The 27536-nt window shown below is 38.3% G+C and overlaps 1 long non-coding RNA gene across 1 annotated transcript; it reads left to right on the forward strand.

Moving 5' to 3' along the window:
* The first annotated feature begins 17520 nt into the window (after positions 1 to 17520).
* On the forward strand, positions 17521 to 25259 carry LOC124902924 (uncharacterized). The gene is made up of 2 exons (XR_007063285.1): positions 17521 to 20518; positions 23709 to 25259. It is a non-coding gene; the product is annotated as an uncharacterized LOC124902924 (long non-coding RNA).
* The last annotated feature ends 2277 nt before the right edge of the window (positions 25260 to 27536 follow it).

The raw sequence follows: 27536 nt of genomic DNA on the forward strand, positions 1-27536 counted from the left end.
AACCCAGAAGTTCTCTGAACCCAGTCCTTTTGGGTCTTTATGGAGGTTCCACTATTAAGGAATGATTCATTAAGTTATTGGCCATTGGTGATCAACTCAACCTTCAGCTTCTCTCCTCTCCCCAGAGATCAGAAGATTGGGCTGAAAGTTCCAACCCTCCAACCATATAATTGGTTCCTCTGTCAACCAGCCTTTATCCTGAAGCTATCTGGGAGCCCCCAACTATCAGTCATTTTGTTAGTATACCAAAAAAAACACTTATAACTTCCCAAAATTCCAATGATATAATTTAGGAGTTCCAAACAAGGAAAAGGGAAGGAGGTAGGGGCAAAAACCAAAGTAAATATTTTGTTTATATTACCATAGCTAAGCTATGAAAGTTTTGTTAGGGCTTGGTCTGTCTGTCCCAATTCGCTAGGATCTTTTAACAAAGCAAGCCAAACATGTGACTGTGCCCTCTTCTACCTTTAATCTGATAAGCATGTTGCAGTGGATGGAGTTTCAGAAAAATGCAAAGAAATCTCAAGTCAACAGATGAGGAAGCTGAGGCCAGAGAGTTGAAGTAGCTTCCCCAGGTTCCGCTGGGAGTGTTGGCTCTGTGGCTCCAGCCACACTGCTCCCAAACCCACCTAGTAGACAACCATTCCCAGGGGAACAGGGTCTCTGAGCATGCAAAAGAAGGTTTGAGGGGCACAGGAGAATCTAGAGACATAAGAAATAATAATAATTGAGGCTCACTATGTGATGGAGGCATTCTAAGTGTCTTGTTAATGCTCAAATCACTCTCCCAGGGAAGCTCTGTTGCCCCACTTTATAGAAGAAGAAACTGAGGCTTAGAAACATGTAGGAACTTGCTCCAGGTTCCCCAGCCACTACTTAGCAGAGGAGAGGCTCTATCTCCCACAGATGTGCCAGAAACTTATTGAAATGTTTTAGGCATCCTATAAACACCTGTGAGACCCAGGAGTGTAAGCCACCCACCTTTTCTGCCACCACCAACCCTCCCCCCAAAATTCAAGACTGTTCTCAAAGACAGCTCAGTTAGAAGCAGGAGAAATCTCAAAAATAAAACAGTTATTAGTTAAAGTGTCCTCCAAACTGGGTGAGTGGCATATTCAGACAGACTGTGGTCAGGATGGGGAACAGTTAACAATCTTCTAATAAATCAGAAGGAAGTGTTCATTGGAAAGGATACTTAAGATGTAATTTATATGTCATTTAAATGGCCTGGGGTAGGAAAGTCCTCAAAAACATGTGCAACCCAATATGATCTACAGAGGTAGAAATGTGGTTTGAGCAGTTGAATATGATGTGGAGGTTTTCCTTGGAGGGGAAGACTGTGATTAAGGAAATAAAATGTTGGTTAGCCATTTGGAGAAAGCTGGGATAATGGCTATGTAGGGAGAAGCTTGTGAGAGTTTTAGTTCAGTTATCTTACACCAAGGTCACCCTCTAATTCTACAGTTAGCAAAATTTGAGCTTTACCTGTTGAAGGTTATTAAAAAAAATAGATGTGTGGGAAAATGAAAAGCGTACTGGATTTTAAGTGTATTTCCAAGGTATTCTATCTTTTTAAACTACTTGTGCATTTTACTTACTAAGTATCATAATCTGATGATAGACAAGTTCAGCTAAGAGACTGAAATAATTAGCTTACTGTTACCCTACAGCACAGGAGCCTGGAATAACTAACTCTCTGCTGGAATAATATTTGAAATATTAACTTTTTTCTCCTGATCTTTATTACTATTTTGTTTTCTTCCCATTCAAAGAGAAAGACAGCTTTAAAACCTACTCCTTCAGAAAATAAATGGAATCGGAAGGGGAGAGCATGCAGTAATAAAGAAGTGGCAGATGATTGTGACCCAATACAGGAGGAGGTGTTAGAATGAGAACAGAGCATAGGAAGAACCAGAGTGGCTTAGAAGGATGCTTCCCTGTAGGGAAACTGTAGGGTGGAGGGACAGAAAAGGGGTCTGTAGTTTCCAGAAGAGGATCCAAGCTCTGGCTCCTGGAGGCATACCCCAGCAAATTAGCAAGACCAGTAAGAGGAGTAGAGCCTCAGGGCTGGGACAGCAAAGTCCTAGGTCTCCGAGGGCGTGAGGGTCATGCAAACGTATGAAGCACATGGGTGTAAGAGTAAGGGGTGGCAGTGACTGTGACTAACTAGAGAGCACGTGGCCTGCTGAAAGGCATGCACCATGTTTTTTGTCAAAAGTTTGCTTGTCATCGAAGCAAGTTTGTGAGCCAAAATATTTGTGAGCCAAATTTTTCTCTCCTGGGCTCCAAGATAGTTAAGAGACATCATTTACTTCGTAATCAAATCCCAGGATATGAAAGCCACAGAGAGCCATCAAAGCTATATGGACCACAGGGACAAGGATAATTGTCATCTCAGTAGTAAAGTATTGTTGACTGAAATTAAGGCTGTTGAGGCAGAAATAATGTTATAAAGGTTTATGAAAAGCCAAATGTGAGGATCAACCCAGGAAGACACACCAACAAAGTTGAGAGTGTTCTGGAATTTGTCACAAAATGAAAGATTTTTATAGGAAAGTTTAAAAAGAAGGAAAAAGGGCTCCTCATACCAAAGATGTCCTCTTTTCATTGGAGGGTACAATACAGAAGTTACAATCATTAGCTGCAGATGACAACATACAGTCTAAAAGATGTCTACATTCAAGACAATCGGTAAAATATCTTGCTTCAGCTCATCTTAAAATGAGTCAGCATCCTATTCAGTGTCAGCCAGTTATACACTGTTCAGCACATCAACAATTTGAGGAACTTTGGTTAAGATTCTTTTTTTGGAGAAATGTCGCCATTGAGACATCACAAGACCTCCTCAAGGCAGATTAATTTGGAAACCTGCTTACTTCTAAAGCAAACTGTCCCATGTAACCAGTAAGTTATCAGTATGGACAAGAAACAAAGACTAGAAGAAGAAGATCCCATCTCCTCTTAATGCCCCCTCCAGTTATATGTATTTGGGAACTATTCGTAATTCTGAATTCTTAATATGAGCTCAAGCAAGGGGTGGGAAGCTCCATGAATGCTTGCAGTTAGGTTTCTTAACCACTTGGCAGTATAAAGCTCAAATTAAGTTATTCCATTGAAAATAAAGAAATATGGCATTTCTTATACCTGAATTTGTGATTCAGGCCAACTTTATTTGCCATGAGTCTGTATCTACACACCTTATCTGATTTTCTTCAAAACTAGCAGAAAATGCAGGCTAGCAACATCCTATAATCTATCTCAGCAAGCGTTCATTAAGTGTCTAATAATTTACAATCACCTATGTGGTATATGTGGATAAAATTTTACTAAAAACTTTCTGCACCTAGGAAACTTACAACCTAATGGAGAAAACAAGTATGTATCTTTTTCTTTTTTTAGATGGAGTTATTGCTTTGTTGCCCAGGCTGGAGTGCAATGGTGCAATCTCAGCTCACTGCAACCTCTGCCTCCTGGGTTCAAGCGATTCTCCTGCCTCAGCCTCCCAAGTAGCTGGGATTACAGGTGCCTGCCACCATGCCCAGCTAACATTTTGTATTTTTTTAGGAGAGACGAGGTTTCACCATATTGTCCTGGCTGGCCTCAAACTCTTGACCTCATGTGATCCAACCGCCTTGGCCTCCCAAAGTGCTAGGATTACAGGTGTGAGCCACTGCCCTGCATAGGTATCTTAAATGCAAGGGAAAGTACGATAATTACAACTCCTAAGAATCACAGTCATGAGAACACAGAGGAGAGAAGGAGCTTAATCAGAGTAATAAGGCTGGATAATACGGAGAAGTACCCAAATGTGTTGACCTATTCAGCAGCAGTTTAAGAAACAGACTTAAATTGGATAGAATATAAAGACAGTTCATTACTTCTTCATCTCTTATATTTCCTCTGTCAAGTCACCAATCTCCCCAACATTTTGACATCAAATTTTGACTTGTTTGATTTGTCCTCTGCAGAATTAGAAGATTCTTTCCTAATTACTTCCTGGTTCCATCTGTTAAAAAGACATTCAGCTTGAAAAATAAGTTTGCATATATATTTGTCCAAAGTAGTTGTCAACCTTGGGCACATGTTGAAATCACAAAGGCAGATTTTAAAAGATGAATGTCTGTCGTTTGCCTCCTGGTAATGATGCACTAAGAACACAGTATCACTTATGGGATATTCCTGTCAAAAATGTATAGCCTGAATTGAATCATGAGGAAACATCTAAAAACCCAAATTGAGAGACATTCTACAAAACAACTGGTCTATTATTTTTTTAAATGATACAGTCATGAAAAATATGAGGAATGTTTCCACATTAAAGGAGACTAAAGAGTCATAACAACTAAACTCAGTGGTGCTCTTGAATTCAAGAATCCTGGTCTAGAAACTGGACCAGGAAAATGATATCACTGGAATATTTAGAGAAATTTGAAGATTTGTGGATTAGATAACACAATCGTATCAGTGTTGATTTCTTGATTTTGATAATTGTTCTATGATTGTGTAAGAAAATGTCGTTTAGCACCAGGGACTGCTCTCATGGAAGACAATTTTTCCATAGACATGGCTGGGGTTGGGGTCTGGGGATGGTTTCGGGATGAAACTGTTCCACCTCATGTCATCAGGAATTAGATTTTCATAAGGAGCGTTCAACCTAGATCCCTCACATGTGCAGTTCACAATAGGGTTCACACTCATGAGACTGTAATGCTGCTGCTGATCTGACAGGAGGCGGAGCTCAGGCAGTCATGCTCGCTCACCCACCACTCACCTTCTGCTGTGCAGCCCAGTTCCCAACAAGCCACGGACTGGGTACAGGTCTGTGGCAGGAGGGTTGAGGACCCCTGCTTTAGGAAATATACACTGAAATGCCCAATACAATATTTAGAAGTAGTGTCATGTCTTCAACTTACTCTCAAATGTTTCAGAAAACAATATGTGTGTATAGAGAAAAGTATTCTAGAGAGACACAGGGAGAGAGAGAGACAAACACACACACAGAGACAAAGAACATGATAAAGATAGAAAGAAGAATCTGGATGAATTGTATACAGAAATTCTTGATATTTTTTGTAACTTTTTTGTGAGTTTCATATTATTTCAAAATTAAAAGTATTTAAAAAATTTTTTTAAGTACCATTCCCAGAGATTCTAACTTACTTCCTTTGGGATGGTGCCTGGACATCAGGACTTCAAATTCTCCCCAGCTGATTCTTATTTGCAGCCAGGATTGAGAAGCACTGGCCTATACAAACCCTAGTGTCTGGAGATACAGAATTTCTGAGCTACCTATAATGTTTGAAACTAGTTGGAGTAAAGGGCATTGAGGTTGGAGATTTTTTTTTTATCTCTGCACAGAGCAGTTTAACAGGGTCTTAAATACAGATACCTCAAGGGTCCAGCAAGTAACATAAATGTGTAAAGTAAAGCAGTAGATCACAAGATGACAGCAAACTGTAAGGAGAACTTGTCGATTAAAGTCATTTAGTTCAGATTTTAAAAATATACTAAACAATCCCAAATTGGCAGGCCTATATGGGAGAGTAGGTCATCACATTGTAACATCTGGACCTTGAAGAACAGAGAACTATGGTCATAATTTGTAGGCATAGAAATTAGACAGTACTTAGATTCCTCGGAAAATATTACTATTATGGGCCAGACACTATGTTTAGGTATTAGGTTTATATTAAATTTAAGCAAAGTATATGTTTAAAGTAAACTTGGAAATAAGATAATATGCATTTGATAGCTGTTTCTGTTAGGCTAACTTTGGCTGGCTGTAACATAAAATGGCAAGTTAAACTGGTTCAAACAATAAGGTAATTTAACATCTAAGGTGAAGGAAGTCTAGCAGCTTAGCAATGTCCTCAAGATCTGGGTTGTTCCCATCTCCCCATCCATCTTCTTTACTGTTCGCCATTTGCCCTCCAGCTAGCTCCACTTATAGTCCCAAATCAGCTGCAGGAGCTCTAGGCCTCACATCCAGATGTGGCAACATCCAGGAAACAATCTTTTATTGTTTTTATCTCCTAGGAACAAAGAAACCTCTTCCAGAAGCCCCTCAGTAGATTTTCTCTTATGTCCCAATGTCCCAAATTAGGTCACATGTTTATTCCTAAGCTAAGCACTGGAAAGAAAACAGGGTTTCCAGCCTGGGCTTAGACTGAACAGAATCTGCCTAGAGAATGGGGTCACCATCCTCTGTAACTTGAGGGAGGCAGGATTGATATCACTACAAAACTGAGGTGGAGGCACAATGAGTAATCAAACAGTAGACCTCACCATACAAAACTGTTTTTAATCAGATGTTTTTGGAAATTAAGCCAAACTTCCACTTACAACAGCAGACTATGTAAACACTCATTCCTACTACAGAGATCTGCAAATTAAGCAATTTAAAATTGAGAGATGTGGAATGTGGTGGGAAAAAGCACAAGACTGACCAAATTTAGCTTTCAATGACCTTGATCAAGTCGCTTAGTTTTTCTGAACCTCATTTTCACCTTAAAAATATGGATTGGACTGGATGGTTTCTAAGACCACTTTCAACATTAATGGACTGTTAGCCTTCTATCGCTAATAAATACTCTATAAAATAAAGGAGCTAAAGAACTTGGTATTGTGAGAATACCTCTCAAAGTAAATAGTTCTCAACAATACAGACTTGAAATGAGGGAAAGGTGAATGCTTTAAAATAATAATTAGGACTTCTAGTTTTTGGTCCTGCATGTAAGGAGCTTGGACATCATCACTCATCTTGACAAGTAAGAAGCAGAACAAACAGAAAAATGAACAATTTTTACATGTGTCTTCTTGGTCCATCGGAGAAGTGATGTCCCACGGCAAATACCTGCACCAACAACTAAAGAAACAGACAGATTAATACATAAAATCACAACTTACCAAGGCAGAAACCACCTCCAGAACCAGTACTGAGGCAGGAAAACCTAAGTTGTAACAGACAAATTACTGGAGGTTCACTGTGCACAACTCCAGGAGCAGCCCTTGGCAACATGGCAAAACACCATCTCTACAAAAAAATGCAAAAATTAGCTGGATGTGTTGGCACATGTCTGTGGTTCCAGCTAGTTGGGAGGCTGGGGTGGGAGGATAGCTTGAGCCTGGATGGTTGAGGCTGCAGGGAGCTGTGATTGCACCACTGCACTCTAGCCTGACAACAAAATGAGACTCTGTCTTGAAAGAAAGAGAGAAAGAAAACATAATACTATTGGCCAGGCATGGTGGCTCACGCCTGTAATCCCAGCACTTCGGGAGGCTGAGGTGGGCAGATCACGAGGTCAGGAGATCGAAACCATCCTGGCTAATGCAGTGAAACCCCGTCTCTACTAAAAATGCAAAAAAAATTGGCCGGGCGTGGTGGCGGGCACCTGTAGTCCCAGCTACTCTGGAGGCTGAGGGAGGAGAATGGCGTGAAACCGGGAGGCAGAGCTTGCAGTGAGCCGAGATCACGCCACTGCACTCCAGCCTGGGTGACAGAGCAAGACTCCATCTCAAAAAAAAAAAAAAGAAAAAAGAAAGAAAAAACATAATACTATTTACATTAACAGCTCCAAAATTAAATACTTAGATATAAATCTAACTGAATATGTCCAAGATTTATATGAAGAGAACATTGATGAAAGAAATGAAAGAACTAAATAAACGGAGAGGTATTACTGTTCTTTGATGGGAAAATTCAATATTGTCAAAATGGCAGTTCTTTCCAACTTGATCTATAGACACAATGCAATTCCAAAGTTTCAGCATGTTATTTTGTAACTATTGATAAAAAAGATTCTATTTTTTTGGAGATCTAGAATAGTCAACACAATATTGAAGGAGAAAAACAAAGTTAGAGGACTGATGCTATGCAATGTCAGAAATTACCATGAAGCTATAGCAATCAAGGCAGTGTGGTGCTGGTGAAAGAATATGCAAATACATCAGAGAAACAGAATAGAGAGCCCAGAGATATGCCGACATAAATATAGTCAGCTAATCTTTGACAAAAGAGCAAAGGCAATACAATGGAGCAAAGAGTCTTTTCAACAAATGATGCTGGCACAACTGGATGTTCACATGCATAAAAATGAATCTACACCCAGATCTTGCACCCTCACAAAAATGAACTCAAAATGGATCAGAGACACGAAGTAAAATGCAAAATTATAAAACTCCTAGGACATAACATAGGGGAAAATGATGACTTGGGTGTGGTGATATCATTTTAGATACAACACCAAGACACAATCTATAAAAGAAAGAATGAATAAACGGGACTTCATTAAACTAAAAACCTTTGCTCTGTGAAAGACATTGTCAGAAGAATGAAAAGGCAATTCACAATCTGGAAGAAAATATTTGTGAAAGACATATCTGATAAATAACTGCTGTCTGAAATATATACAGATCTCTCAAAACTCAATACAATAAAAACAACAAGAAAACAACTCAATTAAAAAGTGGACAAAAGATCTTAACAGACAGCTCACCAAAGAAGATATTCTGATGGAAAATAAGGACATAAAAAGATATTCCACATCATGTCATTAGGGAAATTCAAATTAAAACAATGAGATGGCAATAAGCATCTGTTAGAATGGCCAGAGACCCAGAACACTGACAATACAAAGTGCTGGCAAGAATATGAAGCAACAAAAAGTCTCATTCATTGCTGATGGAATGCAAAATGGTACAGCCACTTTGGAAGATGGCTTGTCAGTTTCTTGTAAGACTAAAGAGACTCTTAACGTACAATCCAACAATCATACTCCTTGATATTTACCCAAATGTGCTGACGACTTGTGTCCACACAAAAACCTGAATCACAGATGTTTATAGCTGCTTTATTTGTAATTTCCAGACTTGGAAGCAACCAAGATGTCCTTCAGTAAGTGAATGGATAAGGAAACTGTGGTTCATTTAGACAATGAAATTTTTTTTAGAACAAAAAAAGAAACGTGCCATCAAGCCATGGAAAGATAGGGAGGAAACTTAAATGCATATTAGTAAATGAAGTAAGTCAATGAAAAAGCTATGTATTGTATAATTCCAATTATATGACATCCTCAAAAAGACAAAAATATGGAGACATTCAAAAAGGTTCAGTGGTTGCCAAGAGTTAGGGGGACAGGAGGGATGAATATGCAGAGCACAGAGGATTTTTAAGGCAGTAAAACTACTCTCTATGATGCTACAATGGGGAGTACGTATCACATATTTATCAAAACTCATAAAATGTACAACGCCAAGAGCTAAGACTAATATAACTATGGGCTTTGAGAGATAATGATGCTTCAATACAGGTCATCAATTGTAACAAATGTACCACCCTGGTGGGGGATGTTGATAGCTGGGGAGACTGTATGTGTGGGAGGGCAAGGGGTACATGGGAAATCTCTGTACCTCTGCCCAACTTTGCTGTCAACCTAAAACTGCTTTAAAAAATAAAGTCTATTTTTATTTTATTTTATTTTTTGAGACAGTGTCTCCCTCTGTCTCCCAGGCTGGAGTGCAGTGGCATGATCTCAGCTCACTGCAAGCTCTGCCTCCAGAGTTCAAACGATTCTTCTGCCTTAGCCTCCCTAGTAGCTGGGACTACAGGCCCACGCCAACACACCCAGTTAATTTTTGTATTTTTTAGTAGAGGTGAGCTTTCACCATCTTGGCCAGGCTGGTCTCAAACTCCTGACCTCAAGGAATCCGCCTGCCTCTGCCTCCCAAAGTGCTGGGATTACAGGGGTGAGCCACCACACCCGGGCTCTGTAAAGTCTGTTTTTAAAAAAGCATAATTAAAGCTAACTCTGTCAAGCCTTCAGATGTAAATTTTATACGATAAGATAAGAATTTTCCCTCTTTAACTTCAAGCACTATCTGTTACTTTCTTCAGGAATGTTATAACAAATAGATTCGTCTGGGAGTTTGATGAGGAATAAAAACTATCTAAAAGTAGGCTTGGTTTTCAATTTACATTTCAACATGTCTACATAAATGTGGGCAGCCTCTCCAAATTCTTCATTCCCAAGAGAAAATTTCAATTTTTATGGCAAGCATATAATTATCTATTTTCTTTCAAAATAATATTTTAGATATTTCCTGTCCTTAAGATGTTGCCATTGAACAAATAACAGTTTGAATTCTGATTCCCTAAAACATATGTGAAACTAAATGAGCAAGGCTAGTGCTGACATCTACTGTTAGAATTTGGGTGTGAATGACTTTACCATGCACAGCCCTTTCCTAAGGAGTTGGGAGTTGTGCAGCAATAGTTGTCGATATGGGGTGACTGACTAGGAGATCATTGCCCAAAGCTCTATTATCTTGAAAACAGGTGCAAGAGAACCATATAGCACTTTTGAGGTAAATATAATGAAGATTTTGGAAAAAGATCAATTAATGTCAAGAAGTATTTCCTATTTTCCAGGAGCCTTCCAAAGACTCTGTCGTCTCTTAACAAACCTCCTACTCTGTTTCTCCTATATTGTTTCTGACCCTGGTGCTTTAAAGAAAAGATAGATGTGGCTACTGAGTTTCAGTGTTGTCTTTAGGAGAGGGAAAGAGAAAGGAGAACAGAACACTTCCCTGACCCTGGTGTTTCTCCTGCCCTGGTGCATTGCTCTAGATTATAAATCGGCTGTCTACCTTTTGTTTTAGCTGTCGTTATTCTTCTCTGAAAATATTTTCCACCCCAACCTAGAAAATTGTTATTGAATTTTGTCACCATGACTATTTTAAAAGGTGCGCATTGTGTGAGATCTCACATTCCACCTCACAGTTACTTATGTGTCCGCCGAGTAGCTAATACCTAGGCTGGTGAGAAGAGACTGAGAATATACATTCCAGTCAAATAGAAATGCATTATCCTACCTATGTACAAAGGGAAGCAGGAGTGTGTTGCAATTGTCAGGACGGGACTTCTGTAAAAATCGAGACTGGCAATGTCAGACCTGATGTTTGTTCATCATTGTTGTCAACCTAGCACAAGATCACACAGTCCTAAGAGGAGGAACCAGAAGACTTGGAAGCTTTGATGTGGATAATCAACCCCCACAGAACATACAAGCCGACGGCTCTATGGTGTCTTCTGGTCTTGCTCTTGCATTATTGCCCTTAGTTTTATACTTTCTTATCTGATAGATACACACTTCTTAAGAACATTATGCTTGTTGCTAAGAACTATGAAGGAGTCTGCCTCAACGTGAAGAACACAAAGAAACCTTCTATATTTTTGTCCTGTTGTTCATTTGTTTTCAAGACAACTCCAGTAGGTTCATTTTTTAAAAAAACTACTTTTTTAGTTCTTATATTTTTAGAGTAAGTTATTTGAATATTTAAAATGGAATTCGTTTTTTAAAAGATTATTGGTAGAAGTCAACATTCTTCATGGAAGATCTAAACAAGCTTAAAGGATTTGTGTTCTTTGGAGTCAAATCATAAAAATACTTCTTTTATTCATACAGATATCATCAAAGCACTTCTGCACAACTGCCTTTATTAAGCTGGCATTTTGGAACCAGCAATGTGCTGTAAATCTTTGTAAAGATCTTTTTCATAGAAGACCAGTTTATGTTCATTGAAAAAAAAAACTCTACAGAACATTACTGAAGATTGTGCATAGTGAGTTGATCAGCTCTTTCCACTCCAGTGACGCTGTTCCACATGGAAGCCAGGGCAGTACAGGGTTAAAAACATGCATGCTGGCATCAGAGTGCCTGGGTTCAAAGCCCTGCTCTACCAATCATCCACAGGATGAGTCTTTGGGTAATTTACTTCAGTCTCAGTGACACAGTTTTTTCATCTCTAAAATGGGATAATAAGTTAACATATGTTAAGTATTTAATGCTATTCCTGGCACTTCGCAAGTTCTCAATTAATATAAGCTATCATTATCATTAAATGTAACAAGTTACCAATCATACTCTATTTTGTTATAAAAGAAGCATCCCAAATCACTGGCTTGTCTTTGTCATTTAATTGTAAATTAAGAAGTGTTAGGTTTAGAAAATATTGATTGGCTGATAGAAACTCCTTATGTAAAAGATATTAATATTCCCCAAAATTTCTCTAGGGAAGATATTTTTAATACAACTGTGATTTGTAAAAAAAACATATTTTTTCAACTTTTGTTGTCTCAGTTCTGTTTTTGTTTGTTTTCTTTTGTTTTTCTATTGCTTTCCTTTAGTATTTCAGTCTGTTTTGTGCCCCCCACATTCCTCTTATTTAAAGTATCCTAGGCTTTCATCTTGTTTTATGACAGCTCGGGCAGGGCCCTGACTCCCGGCTTATTAAGCATGGTCTCCTCTAGGCCTTGCAGTGAAGAGAGATCTCAACAGGGCAGTGTGCATTTTTGTTGAGTGTGTGCAGAAAGGGAACACAGAATTATTTGACCATTATAGTGGTCTCTTTCCTGGTGAGGAGTAGGAAAGGGAAGAGGAGTGAAGTCAATTGACATTAGAAAGAATATATGCAAACACCTCAACACTGTCTCCTTCTCCAGCCCCTCTACCTCTGAGAGTTTTTCCATTATTTACCTGGTGTTCACCTGGGACCTGAGCTGAGCACCTACATTTTCTGTGTTCTGTGTTTAAGGCACATATTTAGTTTATTGATTTAACCATTTCTCTTTGTTAAAGTGTGGGTAAGTGCATTTTAACTAACTCCAGAATAAAATTAAGATAAACATGTGCACCCTTCCCTTCCACTTCCCAGTAATTCTTTGTGACCACTGAAAATGGGACTATAGCTTTTCTCTACTTTCCTGCCCAGGCCACTGCCCCAGCCTTTCTTTTCTGAGTCCTCCACTTGTTCTACTACATATTGTTCTCTCCTGTCTTTCTGTCTCTCTTGTTTTAAATACTTAATTTTTTTAGAGCAGTTTTAGATTCACAGCAATATTAAGGGGAAGGCAGAGATTTCCCATGCACACCCACCCGAAACATGCAAAGCTCCTCCTATTATCACATCCCCTACCAGAGTGGTACCTTTACTACAAATCTACATTAGCATGTTATTATCACAGTTTACATCAATCTTCATGCTTGGTGTAATTCTACAGGTTTCAAAAAATGTAAATGACAGAAATCCACCATCACAGTGCCATACAGAGTATTTTCATTGTCCTAAAAATTTTCTATGTTCCGCCAAATCATCTCTCTCCTCCTTCAAATCCTGTCAACCGCTGATCTTTTTACTATCTCCATAGTTTTGCCTTTTCCAGAATGTCATATAGTTAGAATTATACAGTATGTAACTTTCAGATTGAGTTCTTTCACTCAGAAATATGCTCTAAGGCTCCTCCATGTCTTTCTGTGGCTTGATAGCACATTTCCTGTTAGTGCTAAATAAAATTACATTGGCTGAATGCATTATAGTTTACTCTTTCATTTCGCTACTAAAGTACGTCTTGGTTGCTTCCAAGTCTGACAATTATGAATAAAGCTGCTATAAAGGAAGCTGCTCTTCCTTTCTTTATGTATATTCAAATTTCTGACATATTTTCCTTCTTTCCAATGTATTTTAAACATTTTCAAATGTTTTTATTTATTTAATATTTATTTATTACAAATAAATGTAAATATTATCTATCATTTATGTATGCATTATTACATATTATATTTAAATAAATATAAACATATTTGTTATATTAATCTTACAAATAAATATAAACATATTTGTTATATTTATCTTACAAATAAATATAAACATATTTGTTATATTTGTTATATCTTACAAATAAATATAAATATTGTCTTTACTTAATATTCATTAAATACTTTAAATATTTCACTTCACTCTCTTCTTATTTGCAAGGACAAAGTTGGCTATATTTCTTGTCTTTTATCCTCTATAGGTAAAGTATTTTTTTTCCTCTTGCTTCTTTCAGGATTTTTTTTAACCTTTGAATTTTTTGCAGTTTGAATATGACATGCCTCATTGTTGAGTTTTTTGTTTGTTTGTTTGTTTGTGGCATTTACCCTGCTTGGTGTTCTCTGAGTTTCCTCAATCTGTGGTTTGGTGTCTGACATTAATTTGGAAAAATCTCAGTCATTATTACTTGAATATTTCTTCCATTCCTTTCTCTCTTTTTCTCTTTCTGGTATTCCCATTATGCATATGTTACCCCTTTTATAGTTGTCCCACAGTTCTTGAATATTCTCTGCTGTTCTTTTTTTTCATTCTTTGTTCTCTTTGCTGTTTAGTTGTTCTTTGGATGGAATGGTGACTTCTAAGCTCCTTACATGCCGAGCCAAAACCAGAAGTCTTGTTTCTTTCTTGACTCTTCAACAAAGCTCCTTTATATTGAGTGCACACTGGATTTTTTGGAGTGCTGAGTCACACCTGGCGTTTTTGTTTTAAAAAATCACAAATGAATTTACTCAGCTTGTGGTGGTTTGTACAGGCTTGATTTGATATTTGACTCTTGAGCAGCTTCATGCCCTTCAATGAAGTGAAAAAGAAAAGATTAACCAGGAAGAGAGTTTCATGTCATGTTGCCAGTCACTGTCAATGACCCCACTCAATAGTGTGGGACTTCTAACATCCTGGGTGGCTCAGGACAAAGTCCAGGACAATCCCTTGCACTAAAGTGCCCTCTGCATTTCTGGTGTGCCTATATTCTTCCAATGATCAACGGGCCCAGATTATTCCTTCGTTTTAAAACATATCTCCTATAGGCATACTCAACTTAACCTGAAACCAAACATTCATTTGAAAACCAAAAGATTCCACTATTTTTTTTTCTGTACAAAATAGAGTGACTTGCAACATTTTCTTAGTAAAATTTTTCTCTCGAGTTAGTTGTCTGTTGCAAAAACCCAGGTGAGATGTCATTAATAGCTAAAGGTTTCTTCAGAAAATGCTGCCACCCTAATTATCAACTGCCTTAAAAATATGTATGTGCTTTGGACCAGCATTTTTATATCTAGTAATTGACCAAAAGGAAATTTTAATCCTAAGGAAACAGATATTTAGCTGAAAATGTTTACCATAGTGCTGTTTATTGAAAACAGTCCAAATGCTAAATGTAGAAAATGGTTAAATATTCTATGGTACCTTTATACACAGAAATTCTATGCCATCATTAAAAATGATGTTGTAAAATAACATTTATTTACCTGAAAATATATCATGAGAAATTGTTAAGTGCAAGGATATAAACACCTGGCCGGGCGCGGTGGCTCATGCCTGTAATCCCAGCACTTTGGGAGGCCGAGGCGGCCGGATCACGAGGTCAGGAGATTGAAACCATCCTGGCTAACACGGTGAAACCCCGTCTCTACTAAAAATACAAAAAAAAATTAGCCGGGCGTGGTGGCAGGCACCTATAGTCCCAGCTACTCGGGAGGCTGAGGCAGGAGAATGGCGTGAACCCAGGAGGCGGAGCTTGCAGTGAGCCGAGATCACGTCACTGCACTCCAGCCTGGGAGACAGTGAGACTCCATCTCAAAAAAAAAAAAAAAAAAAGGATATAAACACCTGTATGTCCTGAATGGTAATGCCTAGGTTTTCTTCTAGGGTTTTTATGGTTTTAGGTCTAACGTTTAAATCTTTAATCCATCTTGAATTGATTTTTGTATAAGGTGTAAGGAAGGGATCCAGTTTCAGCTTTCTACATATGGCTAGCCAGTTTTCCCAGCACCATTTATTAAATAGGGAATCCTTTCCCCATTGCTTGTTTTTCTCAGGTTTGTCAAAGATCAGATAGTTGTAGGTATGCGGTGTTATTTCTGAGGGCTCTGTTCTGTTCCATTGATCTATATCTCTGTTTTGGTACCAGTACCATGCTGTTTTGGTTACTGTAGCCTTGTAGTATAGTTTGAAGTCAGGTAGCGTGATGCCTCCAGCTTTGTTCTTTTGGCTTAGGATTGACTTGGCGATGAGGGCTCTTTTTTGGTTCCATATGAACTTTAAAGTAGTTTTTTCCAATTCTGTGAAGAAAGCCATTGGTAGCTTGATGGGGATGGCATTGAATCTGTAAATTACCTTGGGCAGTATGGCCATTTTCAAGATATTGATTCTTCCTACCCATGAGCATGGAATGTTCTTCCATTTGTTTGTATCCTCTTTTATTTCCTTGAGCAGTGGTTTGTAGTTCTCCTTGAAGAGGTCCTTCACATCCCTTATAAGTTGGATTCCTAGGTATTTTATTCTCTTTGAAGCAATTGTGAATGGGAGTTCACTCATGATTTGGCTCTCTGTTTGTCTGTTGTTGGTGTATAAGAATGCTTGTGATTTTTGTACATTGATTTTGTATCCTGAGACTTTGCTGAAGTTGCTTATCAGCTTAAGGAGATTTTGGGCTGAGACGATGGGGTTTTCTAGATAAACAATCATGTCGTCTGCAAACAGGCATGGGCAAGGACTTCATGTCCAAAACACCAAAAGCAATGGCAACAAAAGCCAAAATTGACAAATGGGATCTAATTCAACTAAAGAGCTTCTGCACAGCAAAAGAAACTGCCATCAGAGTAAACAGGCAACCTACAACATGGGAGAAAATTTTTGCAACCTACTCATCTGACAAAGGGCTAATATCCAGAATCTACAATGAACTCAAACAAATTTACAAGAAAAAAACAAACAATCCCATCAAAAAGTGGGCGAAGGACATGAACAGACACTTCTCAAAAGAAGACATTTATGCAGCCAAAAAACACATGAAAAAATGCTCATCATCACTGGCCATCAGAGAAATGCAAATCAAAACCACTATGAGATATCATCTCACACCAGTTAGAATGGCAATCATTAAAAAGTCAGGAAACAACAGGTGCTGGAGAGGATGTGGAGAAATAGGAACACTTTTACACTGTTGGTGGGACTGTAAACTAGTTCAACCATTGTGGAAGTCAGTGTGGCGATTCCTCAGGGATCTAGAACTAGAAATACCATTTGACCCAGCCATCCCATTACTGAGTATATACCCAAATGACTATAAATCATGCTGCTATAAAGACACATGCATACGTATGTTTATTGTGGCATTATTCACAATAGCAAAGACTTGGAACCAACCCAAATGTCCAACAATGATAGACTGGATTAAGAAAATGTGGCACATATACACCATGGAATACTATGCAGCCATAAAAAATGATGAGTTCATGTCCTTTGTAGGGACATGGATGAAACTGGAAACCATCATTCTCAGTAAACTATCGCAAGAACAAAAAACCAAACACCGCATATTCTCACTCATAGGTGGGAATTGAACAATGAGATCACATGGACACAGGAAGGGGAATATCACACTCTGGGGACTGTGGTGGGGTGGGGGGAGGGGGGAGGGATAGCATTGGGAGATATACCTAATGCTAGATGACGAGTTAGTGGGAGCAGCGCACCAGCATGACACATGTATACATATGTAACTAACCTGCACAATGTGCACATGTACCCTAAAACTTAAAGTATAATAAAAAAAAATTAAAAAAAAAAAAAACCCCAAATCACAAAACAATTTAAAAAAAAAAAAAAAAACACCCGTATGGAGTATGTACAATATGCTCCCGTCTTTGGAAAGTATATACATATATGCCTAGAAAAACATCCAGAAACCTATTAGACAAATGTCAACTGTGGTTAATTATTGGGTGGTGAAATTGAGTTTTAATTTTCTTGTAATTTTTAATTTATGTTTATTTTACAATAAATGAACAGTAATTACAAATCTTTAAAGACTTTTGGAAGACCTTTTGGAAAAAAATTATTGCTGCTCTTGTGAGAACCACTGATAGATATTGTTTCAGTCCTTCTGCTCTGAGAAGTATGCAAGTTATGGTCATAGAAACTCTGTGGGCTACGAAAAAGTGCACATTAAGGTTATTCAAAGGGCTGGAGTTTATAAGGCACCAGCATAACCTTGCCACAAACAGGTTTACGCTTATGAAACAAATCTATCTAGGTGGATTCATCTTTTACTAAATATTTCCCTGTTGACACAGCTTTACTCGCCAATGTTTAATTGCTTTGTATAATTTGTATTAAGCACTATAACATTATGCTACACAGTACTTCAACCCATAACAAGACTTGAACCTGCAATAATGTCATTCCCAAGGAAGATGACCCAGGATTTTTGTATAGGTACCTCCACAGAGCATGGTGGTTAAGGAGGTTCTGTCATAGGCTCTGAGCCTGTGTAGAAATTAGCAGGCAAACCCTAGGTCATGATGGAAGTATGCATCCAGCAGAATGGAGAAGGGTCATTATGGCCTTCAACTGCAGACATTAACAAGTGTGTCCTAACCTGCTTCATTCCTGGCATGTGGGAACAGAACCTTGAAGATCTGGATTCAAGTCAAGCTTCTTGAATGTTAAATATGTAAACATGTAAAAATCTGGAATCCTTTATAGATTATTACATTTTAAAGCTGATCGTTTACATATAGAGCATTAAATTAAATAGGCACATTCTTTATATATAAACAAACAAACTCTCTAGTGATTTATTTTCTCACCATGGAATTTCAATTTCTGATGGATTTTGATGCACATATTGCATCATTTATATAAAAATTTCATTTGAAGGTGCCCATAAAATTTAAGCTGCAGGTGAACTATCAAGAGAATACGTGAAAGTCATTTACAAAATTAGAACGAGCCCAAGACAGGATGGAAAAACCCAAGCTTCTATAGATATTTTCCAGAATTTTTAGGGTTCAGGATGATCATGTTTAATTCCCAAAGCCGCAATTCCTAGCAGCATAGGAGCTCTCAAATATGCAGAAGGAAATGATTCAGAACTGAAAGAGGATAAGTCATCCAATGAATGGTAAGAATTAAGCCTAATGTCAGTAGGTGGCATGCATGCCTTCAATTATTTGACATACAGTTACTGAGCACCTGCTCAGTAAATCATAGGGCCCAAAGATAATTTCCTGGAGGAATGTGTGACTCAAGGCTATTTGGTCTGCCTGTGTCCTTCCTCTGTAGCTCATAAGCACTCTACATGTGCAAAGTCAAGTTTAAATGAAAGTCAAGGGGAACAGTGAGAAAAGAAGCGAGAAAGGTGCAGCATCGTGTGAGAGTGTGTGTGTGTGTGTGTGTGTGTGTGTGTGTGTGTGTGTGTGTTTGTAATGGAGTGAGAGGTGCCAGAAAAATTTAGCTTTCCCTTCTTTCCAGGTCTCTTTGCTTCAGGAGCTGGGGAAGTGTTGCAGTCATCTCCTTTTCCCTTTTTAGCTCTTCTTCAGTCCCCATGCCTTCAAATAACCTCTGGAGCTTGGAATAATTTATCTGATTAACTGTTCTCAGGATAACCGTGTGGGCATAAGAGGAAAGCAGGTTACTGATGCTACTGTGGCCTCCTAGCAACTGACACAATCAATGCTCTTTGGTTTGGGATGTTAGGCTGCAACCGTCCTTAGGGAGCTGTATATTTTCCATATGTGTTGAGAAGTATAGCAAAGTCTAAGAGAATTAAATGAGAGAATTTGGTTACCCTACTTTCTGGCTTGCTAAGGGTTAACTTTCTAAATTCCAAAATCCTTTTTGTGTCTCCTGTCATTAAAATTATAAAATAATTCATTTCATTTTTTGTCTTAGCAAATAGAGCATTTTGACAATAACATAGGATGTTGTGACTGATTAACATGATGCACACTGTAAAGAACTAAAGATATCAAAGGATGTTGACATTAAACGCACCTTATAAGTTGTTATGATTTTTCACTTGTAATTTTTTCCATAACATTAGACTATTGACTATGAAAGACAAAAATCTGATCACTTGAAGATTGTTATTTTTTAGATTATGATTATTCTAGACTTACTGCACTGTTAATGAACCTTTAGTAAATTTGATGCATAAGTGTTTCCTGGAGTACAAAAAATAAATGATTCTTTGATAAAGAAAGACTCAAAATGTTTTTCCTCATTTTTCCAGTCAAATTTTTTTTTTTAGTTCAGATCTTTGAAAAATATCCCACAAGTTATAAAGATTAATAAAACTGGACAAATATAAAAGTCTCATGATTGAAGTGACATTTTCACATAAATTTCATTAAAGGAACCATTAGGCTAAAGTGTTTTTATGTGTATTAAACTGTGCTATGTAAACTACCAGGGACTTTTTTTTTAAGCAGCCTAAATAAAAGAGAAATGGGTCAAGAAGAAGCTAATTAAGTAATTTATTGAAGGCTCAAGTATAAACAAGACAACAATCCAAGATTCTTATTTTGCAGATGGTATTTTTCACTGCTTCCTTCACCTCTTGGATGCTTCATATTTCACATTATTTTAAGAACAATTCACTCCCAGAGGATCATGGATGTACAGTCAGTTTGGTCTTGCTGAGTCAACGTGTGCACGTGTTCTCACAAATCTCCAGGCAACATTCACTGACAAGGCAGGGGGAGCTGTGCTCAGCATTTTCTTCAAATTGCTGTCTGAACAGTGGTGTGAAAATGATGTTCACTGTTGTTTGTTTCACCCATTCTCAGTACTGAGAGTTGTCAAAATTACTATTTCTGAGTACAGCATGTGTTCTAATTAAAGATAAAGTGTCTTTAAGACTCAGGTAGGTGTTTCATTAAATGTGATATATGCAGCAATGTATAAAGTATATCATTTATTCACCTTGAGATGCTATTAGGAATGTGCATTTGTGTGATGTCTAACTGATATCATATGGTGCACTAACACAGGGCTTTTCTATTTAAGAACCATTTCACTATGGGTTTGGGGAAAGTTATATATCTCAGGAAGTATTTAGCTTCCAATAGCTTTTCCTCTCTTTTTTAAGTGCAGTAATATATCTTTAAAACATATATGTATATGTATGCATGTATGTGTGTATATATACAGTAAATATATATACACACTATATGTATACTGAAATGTTATGCAGCACATAACATTTAAATATAGATACACACACACAGAGTAATGTGCTGTATAACATTTCAGTCAACAACAAACCACATGTGTGACATTCGTTCCATTTTAATGGAGCTGAAAAATGCCTGTTGTCTAGTGACATCGTAGCCATCGTAATGTAGCATGATGCATTACTCACTTATTTGTGGTCATGCTGGTGTAAACAAACCTACTGCGCTTCCAGTCGTATAAAAGTATAGCACATACAATTATGTACAGTATATGATACTCAATAATGATGATAAACAACACAACTATACTAGTGGTTTATGTATTTACTATACAGCTCCTCTTCAGTCCCCACCCCTTCAAATAACCTCTGGGGCTTGGAATGATTTATCTGATTAGTTGTTCTCACAATAACCATGTTAAGCTATATGTTGAACTATACTTTTTAACATTATTTTAGAGTTTACTCCCTCTACTCATGAAAAAAAGTTAACTGTAAAACAGCCTCAGGCAGGTCCTTCAGGAGGTGTTCCCGAAGGCATTGTAGAAGATGATAGCTTCATGTGTATTATTGCCCCAAAGACCTTCCAGTGAGGCAAGATGTGGAGGTAGAAGACAATGATATTGATGATCCTGACTTTGTATATGCCTAGACTGATGTGTATGTTTGCATCTTAGTTCTTAGCCAAAAAAAAAAGAAAAAAAAGGTTTAAAAAAATTTTAAGAAGAATAAAAAAAAGACATTTTAAAAATATAAAGCAGCAGCTGGGTGCTGTGGCTCATGCCTGTAATCCCAGCACTTTGGGAGGCCAAAGCAGGTGGACCACTTGAGTCCAAGAGTTTGAGACCAGCACAGGCAATATGGTGAAGGCTTATCTCTACAAAAAATACAAAAATTGGTGCACATCAGTAGCCCAGCTACTAAGGAGGATGAGGCAGGAGGATTGCTGAGCCCTGGTGATCGAGACTGCAGTGAGCTGAGATCACACCACAACATTCCAGCCTGGGCAAGAGAGACAAACTCTGTCTCAAAAATAAATAAATAAATAATACAATATAATAAATAAATACTGGACATGGGAAGGCGAGAGACATCTGGTCGACCTTAGACATGAGAAGGTGAGAGCCAGCTGGTTGACCTTAGACATGGGATTTATATATATATATATATATATATTTTATATATATGTGCATGTACATATGTGTGTATATATATGTACATACACATATATACAAAGAAGCTTATGGAACAAGGCTATAAAGAAAGAAAATATTTTTGTCAGCTCTACAATGTGTTTGTGCTTTAAGCTAAGTGTTATTACAAAAGATTCATAAAGTTAAAAAATGCAAAGGTTTATAAAGTAAAAATGTTACAGTAAGCTAACGTTAATTTATTATTGAAGCAAGAAAAAATTTTTTTATGAATTCAGTGTAGGCTAAGTGTTCAGTCTTTAGAAAGTCTGCAGTAGTGTACAGTAATGTCCTAGGCCTTCCTGTTCACTCACCACTCATTCACAGTGGAGCTTGCAGGACTGGAAGATGCTCTGGGTGAGTCAGTGATTGAGTAGTGAGTGAACATGAAGGCCTAGGGCATTACTGTACTTTAAATATTTATACCGTTTAAATCTTTATACCATTACTTTAAATCTTTTACACCATACTTTTGCTGTACCTTTTCTATGTATGAATATGTTTAGATTCATGAATACCCAGCATTGTGTCATAATTGCCTACAGTATTCAGTACAGTAGCATGCTGTACAGGTTTGTAGCCTAGGAGCAGTAGACTTTACCATATAGTTTAGGTGTATAGTAGGTAGGCTATACCATCTAGGTTTGTGCAAGTATACTCTATGATGTTTGCACAATGACAAAATCACCTAGTGATGCATTCCCCAGAACATATTCTTGCTATTAAGAGATGCATAATATTGTGTGTATATATAAATATATTTGCACACACATATGTATAAGAAGTAAATAGAATAAAACAAGATAGATATTATAAATACTTGGAGGTCATGCCACAGGAAATTTCTTCCAATAAATGAGAAGTGAAATTGCCTCTGGTAGTTAAATTTTAAATCAACACATTACTAAGATAGGCAATCAGTCCCCTTAAAGAAAAAGTATGGCTCCCAGGCTGTGGTGTATGGGTCATGAAAGACAGGATGCATAACTGACCAAGGGCTCTAGCTTCCATGCTCTGAAATCATTCGCCATGTTGTACTGAGGCCAAGCTTCCCATGGGCTGCTCCCAGCCATGATTGAGTGCAACAGAAACACTAAGGCAGATGCATTTCTGCAAGATAGGGCATTTCTACAGCCCACTTTGCCACAAGTGACCCTTCTTGCCCCACATCCTGCCCCCAATACCTTGATGAACCTTCCTCCAACTGTAAATGTCTAAGATGCTTCCTCCTGCCCTTCCCCTTTCTCCTTCCTTCAGGGTCAGGCTTGCATCATAGACCAATGACTATCCCAGCTTTCCTCAGCTCCCTCCTTTAATAAAATCCATGCATGTTTAATCCCATCTTGACATGTACTTCCCGGACTAACACACAGACCAAACTATAATTGTATCATTGATTAATACACTAATGTAGCTTAAAAATAAAACATGTAAAATAAAACAGTAACCTCTCAGAAAGAGATTGGTCGGCTCTGGGAGCTGTGAAAAAAGGTGCCAAGCAAAGCTGAACCTGCTCAGTTCATGCTTCTGTGACAGAGGAGGTGACAGCAATGTACCAGCCCAAACACTATCCTTGTTTTTGCAATGGATATATCTGGTGCCATAAAATATTTAGTTCATCCAGTAACACACCTTGTTCTGAGTTCATGCTTTCCAGATGATGTTGAGTTGACTTTTTGACTTCCTCCTAGGCCTATCTCCAGGGAGCAATGTATTAGTTACATGGATGTAGCCCAGAGGGAATTTTTGGAAATTTGGAGAACTGCATTCTAGAGACTCAAAACTGTGACTGCTGAGTGGACCATCTATGGGCAAGAGCAGAATCACTGAATACTGGAGGAGGGTTGCAAGGTGGCCTGGTTTCTGTGGCAGTGATCTGGTAGGTTCTGCTGAGGAAAACTGGATGGTGTCTGGCATGTCTTCAGTAAGTAATAAATGCTAGCAAGCACTTTTGTTATTGGATTATGGCTGGAATTGTCATCTAAAGGGAGAAACGTTAAGTTTTCTTTAAAATATTATTATGTTAGTTTCCTAAGGCTGCCATACCAACCACTAACTAGATAAGTTAAAGCAAAAGAAATTTATTCTCACTGTTTTGGAGGCTACAAGTCTGAAAGGAAGATGTCAGCAGGGCGGGTGCCTTTCGGGGGCTCTGGGGGAGAATCTGTTTCATGTCTGTGTCCTGGCTTCTGGTGAACATAGGCAATGCTTGGTGTTCCTTGGCTTGTAGATGCATCACTCCAGTCTCTGCCTCCAGCTTCACGTGGCCTTCTGCTTGTGTATCTCTGTGGCTTCACATGGCTGTCTTCTCATAGAAACACCAGTCATATGGAATTAGGGGTCTACCCCACTCCACTATGACCTCATCTTAACTTATTACATCTGCAAGGACCCTATTCCCACATAAGGTCACATTCTGAGGTATTATAGGTTAGGATTTCAACATATTTTTGGGAGGACACACAATTCAACTCATATTGGACTTTATGACTCTATGAAATTACTCAAGAGAATAGCTTCATAATGCATGAGAAATAAAAATTGGGGTGATTCAAGACATTACAAACTTTATAGTTAATGTTTGTTCAAATTAACTTAAAGGAGGGGGTGGGACCCAGAGAAGGAAGGGGCTCAAGAGAGCTCATAGCTTATTTCTACAAAATAAAGAATTTCCTTGCTGTCTGTGAGCACTTGGCAACTTTAGGTTGAGGACTGTGCTCTGAATTGTCTTCTCATCTCACATCCCTGCCTAACTGTACACTTACATTTTGTCATACAATCCATCTCCACACATTTTCTTCCTTCACCTTTACCCCCACAATCCCTCCAATCCTGCCTGGAGGCTAAAGCAAATGAAATATATCTACTGTTCTGTACATTTAGCTAATAAAAGAACACTGAGTCTCCACATTCAAATTTCCTTGCAATGTTAGATTGCTTGCTCTAGTTTAGCCTATTAACTATGGGCAAAATACCTTGAATATATTTTATTTCTCTATTTTGTGACATTAACATTTGACTTTCAGCTAATCATTTAAATGTGTGGCACCGGAAAACACATCTTCATAATTGCCTCCTTATTTACATTCCTCAGGGCTGAAGCATGGCAATTTGAATGGATGCAGTTTAAGAATTAATATAGATAGACAAAAATGACAGAGGATTGTAAAGAGGCCCCATGGTTTTGGGAGCTATTCCCTGGCAATCCCTTGTGTTTGATTATAAAAAAAAAAAAAATAAAGGCAGATGTTGAGTGCTGTAGGCTATTCTGCATTTATGGAATTTTCCACTAGGTAATAAGCATTCAGGTCACATACACAGTGAGATTTTCTGCAGTGACAGTACAGATAATAAGGCTGTGCAACTTGGTGACAATTTGCTCCATTTAAGCAAACCATCAACTGGTGCATTTTTACAGCAATTGTCTCAGAAGCATGAGAGATGCTTTTGTGTGCATGTTTTAAATATGGATTCATTAGCACCCAAAGAACAATAGGATGCATTCTGAAATGCATCTTAATGAGAAATAAGCATTGATAGGTCTTCTGAGTTCATGTTTCTATACCACTTTTAAGCCATTAATTAATTAATGGTATTTCTTTGGTCAAATTTAGAAGTAAATAAACCTCTTCCCATTTTTCCTCTTTTTTTTTGAGATGGAATTTCACTCTGTGGCCCATGCTGGAGTGCAGTGGCACAATCTTGGCTCACTGCAACCTCCGCCTCCCAGGTTCAAGCAATTCTCCTGCCTCAGCCTCCCAAGTAGCTGGGATTACAAGCATGCACCACCACGCCCAGCTAATTTTTTTGTATTTTTAGTAGAGACAGGGTTTCACCATATTGGCCAGGCTGGTGTCGAACTCCTGACCTTGTGATCTGCCCACCTCAGCCTCCCAAAGTGCTGGGATTACAGGCATGAACCACCGCATCCAGCCCCTCTTCCCATTTTCTAGGAGTGGCTTTCCCAGAGCCAGATAACATAGTTTAAATATCCATTATTTCTACCAACTATTATTGGGTTAGTACAGAAGGTTTAGCATCTCCAACCCATTAAATGAGAAGATGAGAAAGAAAGGGATTATTAAAGCAATCCATTTTTATTTTTTAGTTCGGTGTATAATCTAGAGTCAAGATGAATGATTGTGTACTGTCCATTAATATCTGTGCTTACCACTCCTAGTTGCTAACCATCAATGTCATCTAACCTTTTGTGGCATATCTGTTGGACTTTTAAGTCTTTCTAAAAGATAATCTCCTTGGTATGCAATGTTGCGCTCGTAGAAGTATTCTTTTTCAACCCACTGCATATCAGCAAATCTGCCTTGGGGCTACATGAACATATGGGAACTGGCACAAAAATGCCTGGACTGGTGCAGCAGGAAGTCAGCCACTGCAGGGAAAGGATGGACATAACACTGAAGCTATCAAGCATATTAAAAGTTTCTTGCAATAAACAAGATAAAAAATGTCCAACACAATTACATCCAAAGAAATTTGTGGCAAGTCAGACTACTTCCTGAAAACATGCTTTTGCAAATAAAATTGATATTAAAATTTTACATAAATTTTCAAAGCCAGAACAAGTCTCAGAGAAATGATTGTGTGTGTGTGTGTGTGTGTGCGTGTGTGTGTACACATAGGTTCTCTTTGGAAAGAGAAAGACAGGAGCATGACATTACTGGAAGGAGCTTTAAGGAATATCAGGACACCTGGCTTCTGATCCTTTCTCTAATCTCACTAGTTCTGAGTGTGAACATTCAGATGAGTTCTGTGAGAAGGAACAAGATGCACTGAAGTTACTTCAAGAAAAAGGAGGATCTTCGAGGGGTAAGCATGGATTAGAAATGAGCAAAAACTCAGAAACAGACACAGGCTGATGGATTCATTCTCTCTCTCTCTCTTTTCAGTACCTCCTGGCTTTGGCATCTTAAGTTCTCCTTGCACTTCTGCATCTCCCTCTGCTGTCTACATACCTGCACTGTCCAATACAGGAACCACCAAGCACATGTGGCTATTCAGATGTAAACATACATTAAATAAAATTAAATAAAATTTATTCAGTTCCTCAGTTGCACTTGCTATGTTTCAAGTGCTCAACAGCCAACCTGTGGCCAGTGGATATTGCATTGGAGGACACCAATTATAGAATTTCCGTCATGCGGCCAGGCACAGTGGCTCATGCCTGTAATCCCAGCACTTTGGGAGGCTGAGGTGGGTGGATCACATAAAGCCAGGAGTTCGAGAACAGCCTGGCCAACATGGTGAAAACCCGTCTCTACTAAAAATACAAAAATTAGTTGGGTGTAGTGGTGCTCATCTGTGATCCCAGCTACTCAGGAGGCTGAGGCATGAGAATGCCTTGAATCTGGGAGGGGGAGGTTGCAGTGAGCTGAGGTCGCACCACTGCAATCCAGCCTGTGTGACAAAGCAAGACTGTCTCAAAAAAAGCAAAACAAACAAAAATTTCCATCATCTCAGAATGGCCTGCACTCCATTCTGTGGCCATTTCTCAATAATCC

This window comes from Homo sapiens, chromosome 12 (assembly GCF_000001405.40).
Source record: "Homo sapiens chromosome 12, GRCh38.p14 Primary Assembly".
In the NCBI taxonomy this organism is placed as follows: domain Eukaryota; kingdom Metazoa; phylum Chordata; class Mammalia; order Primates; family Hominidae; genus Homo; species Homo sapiens.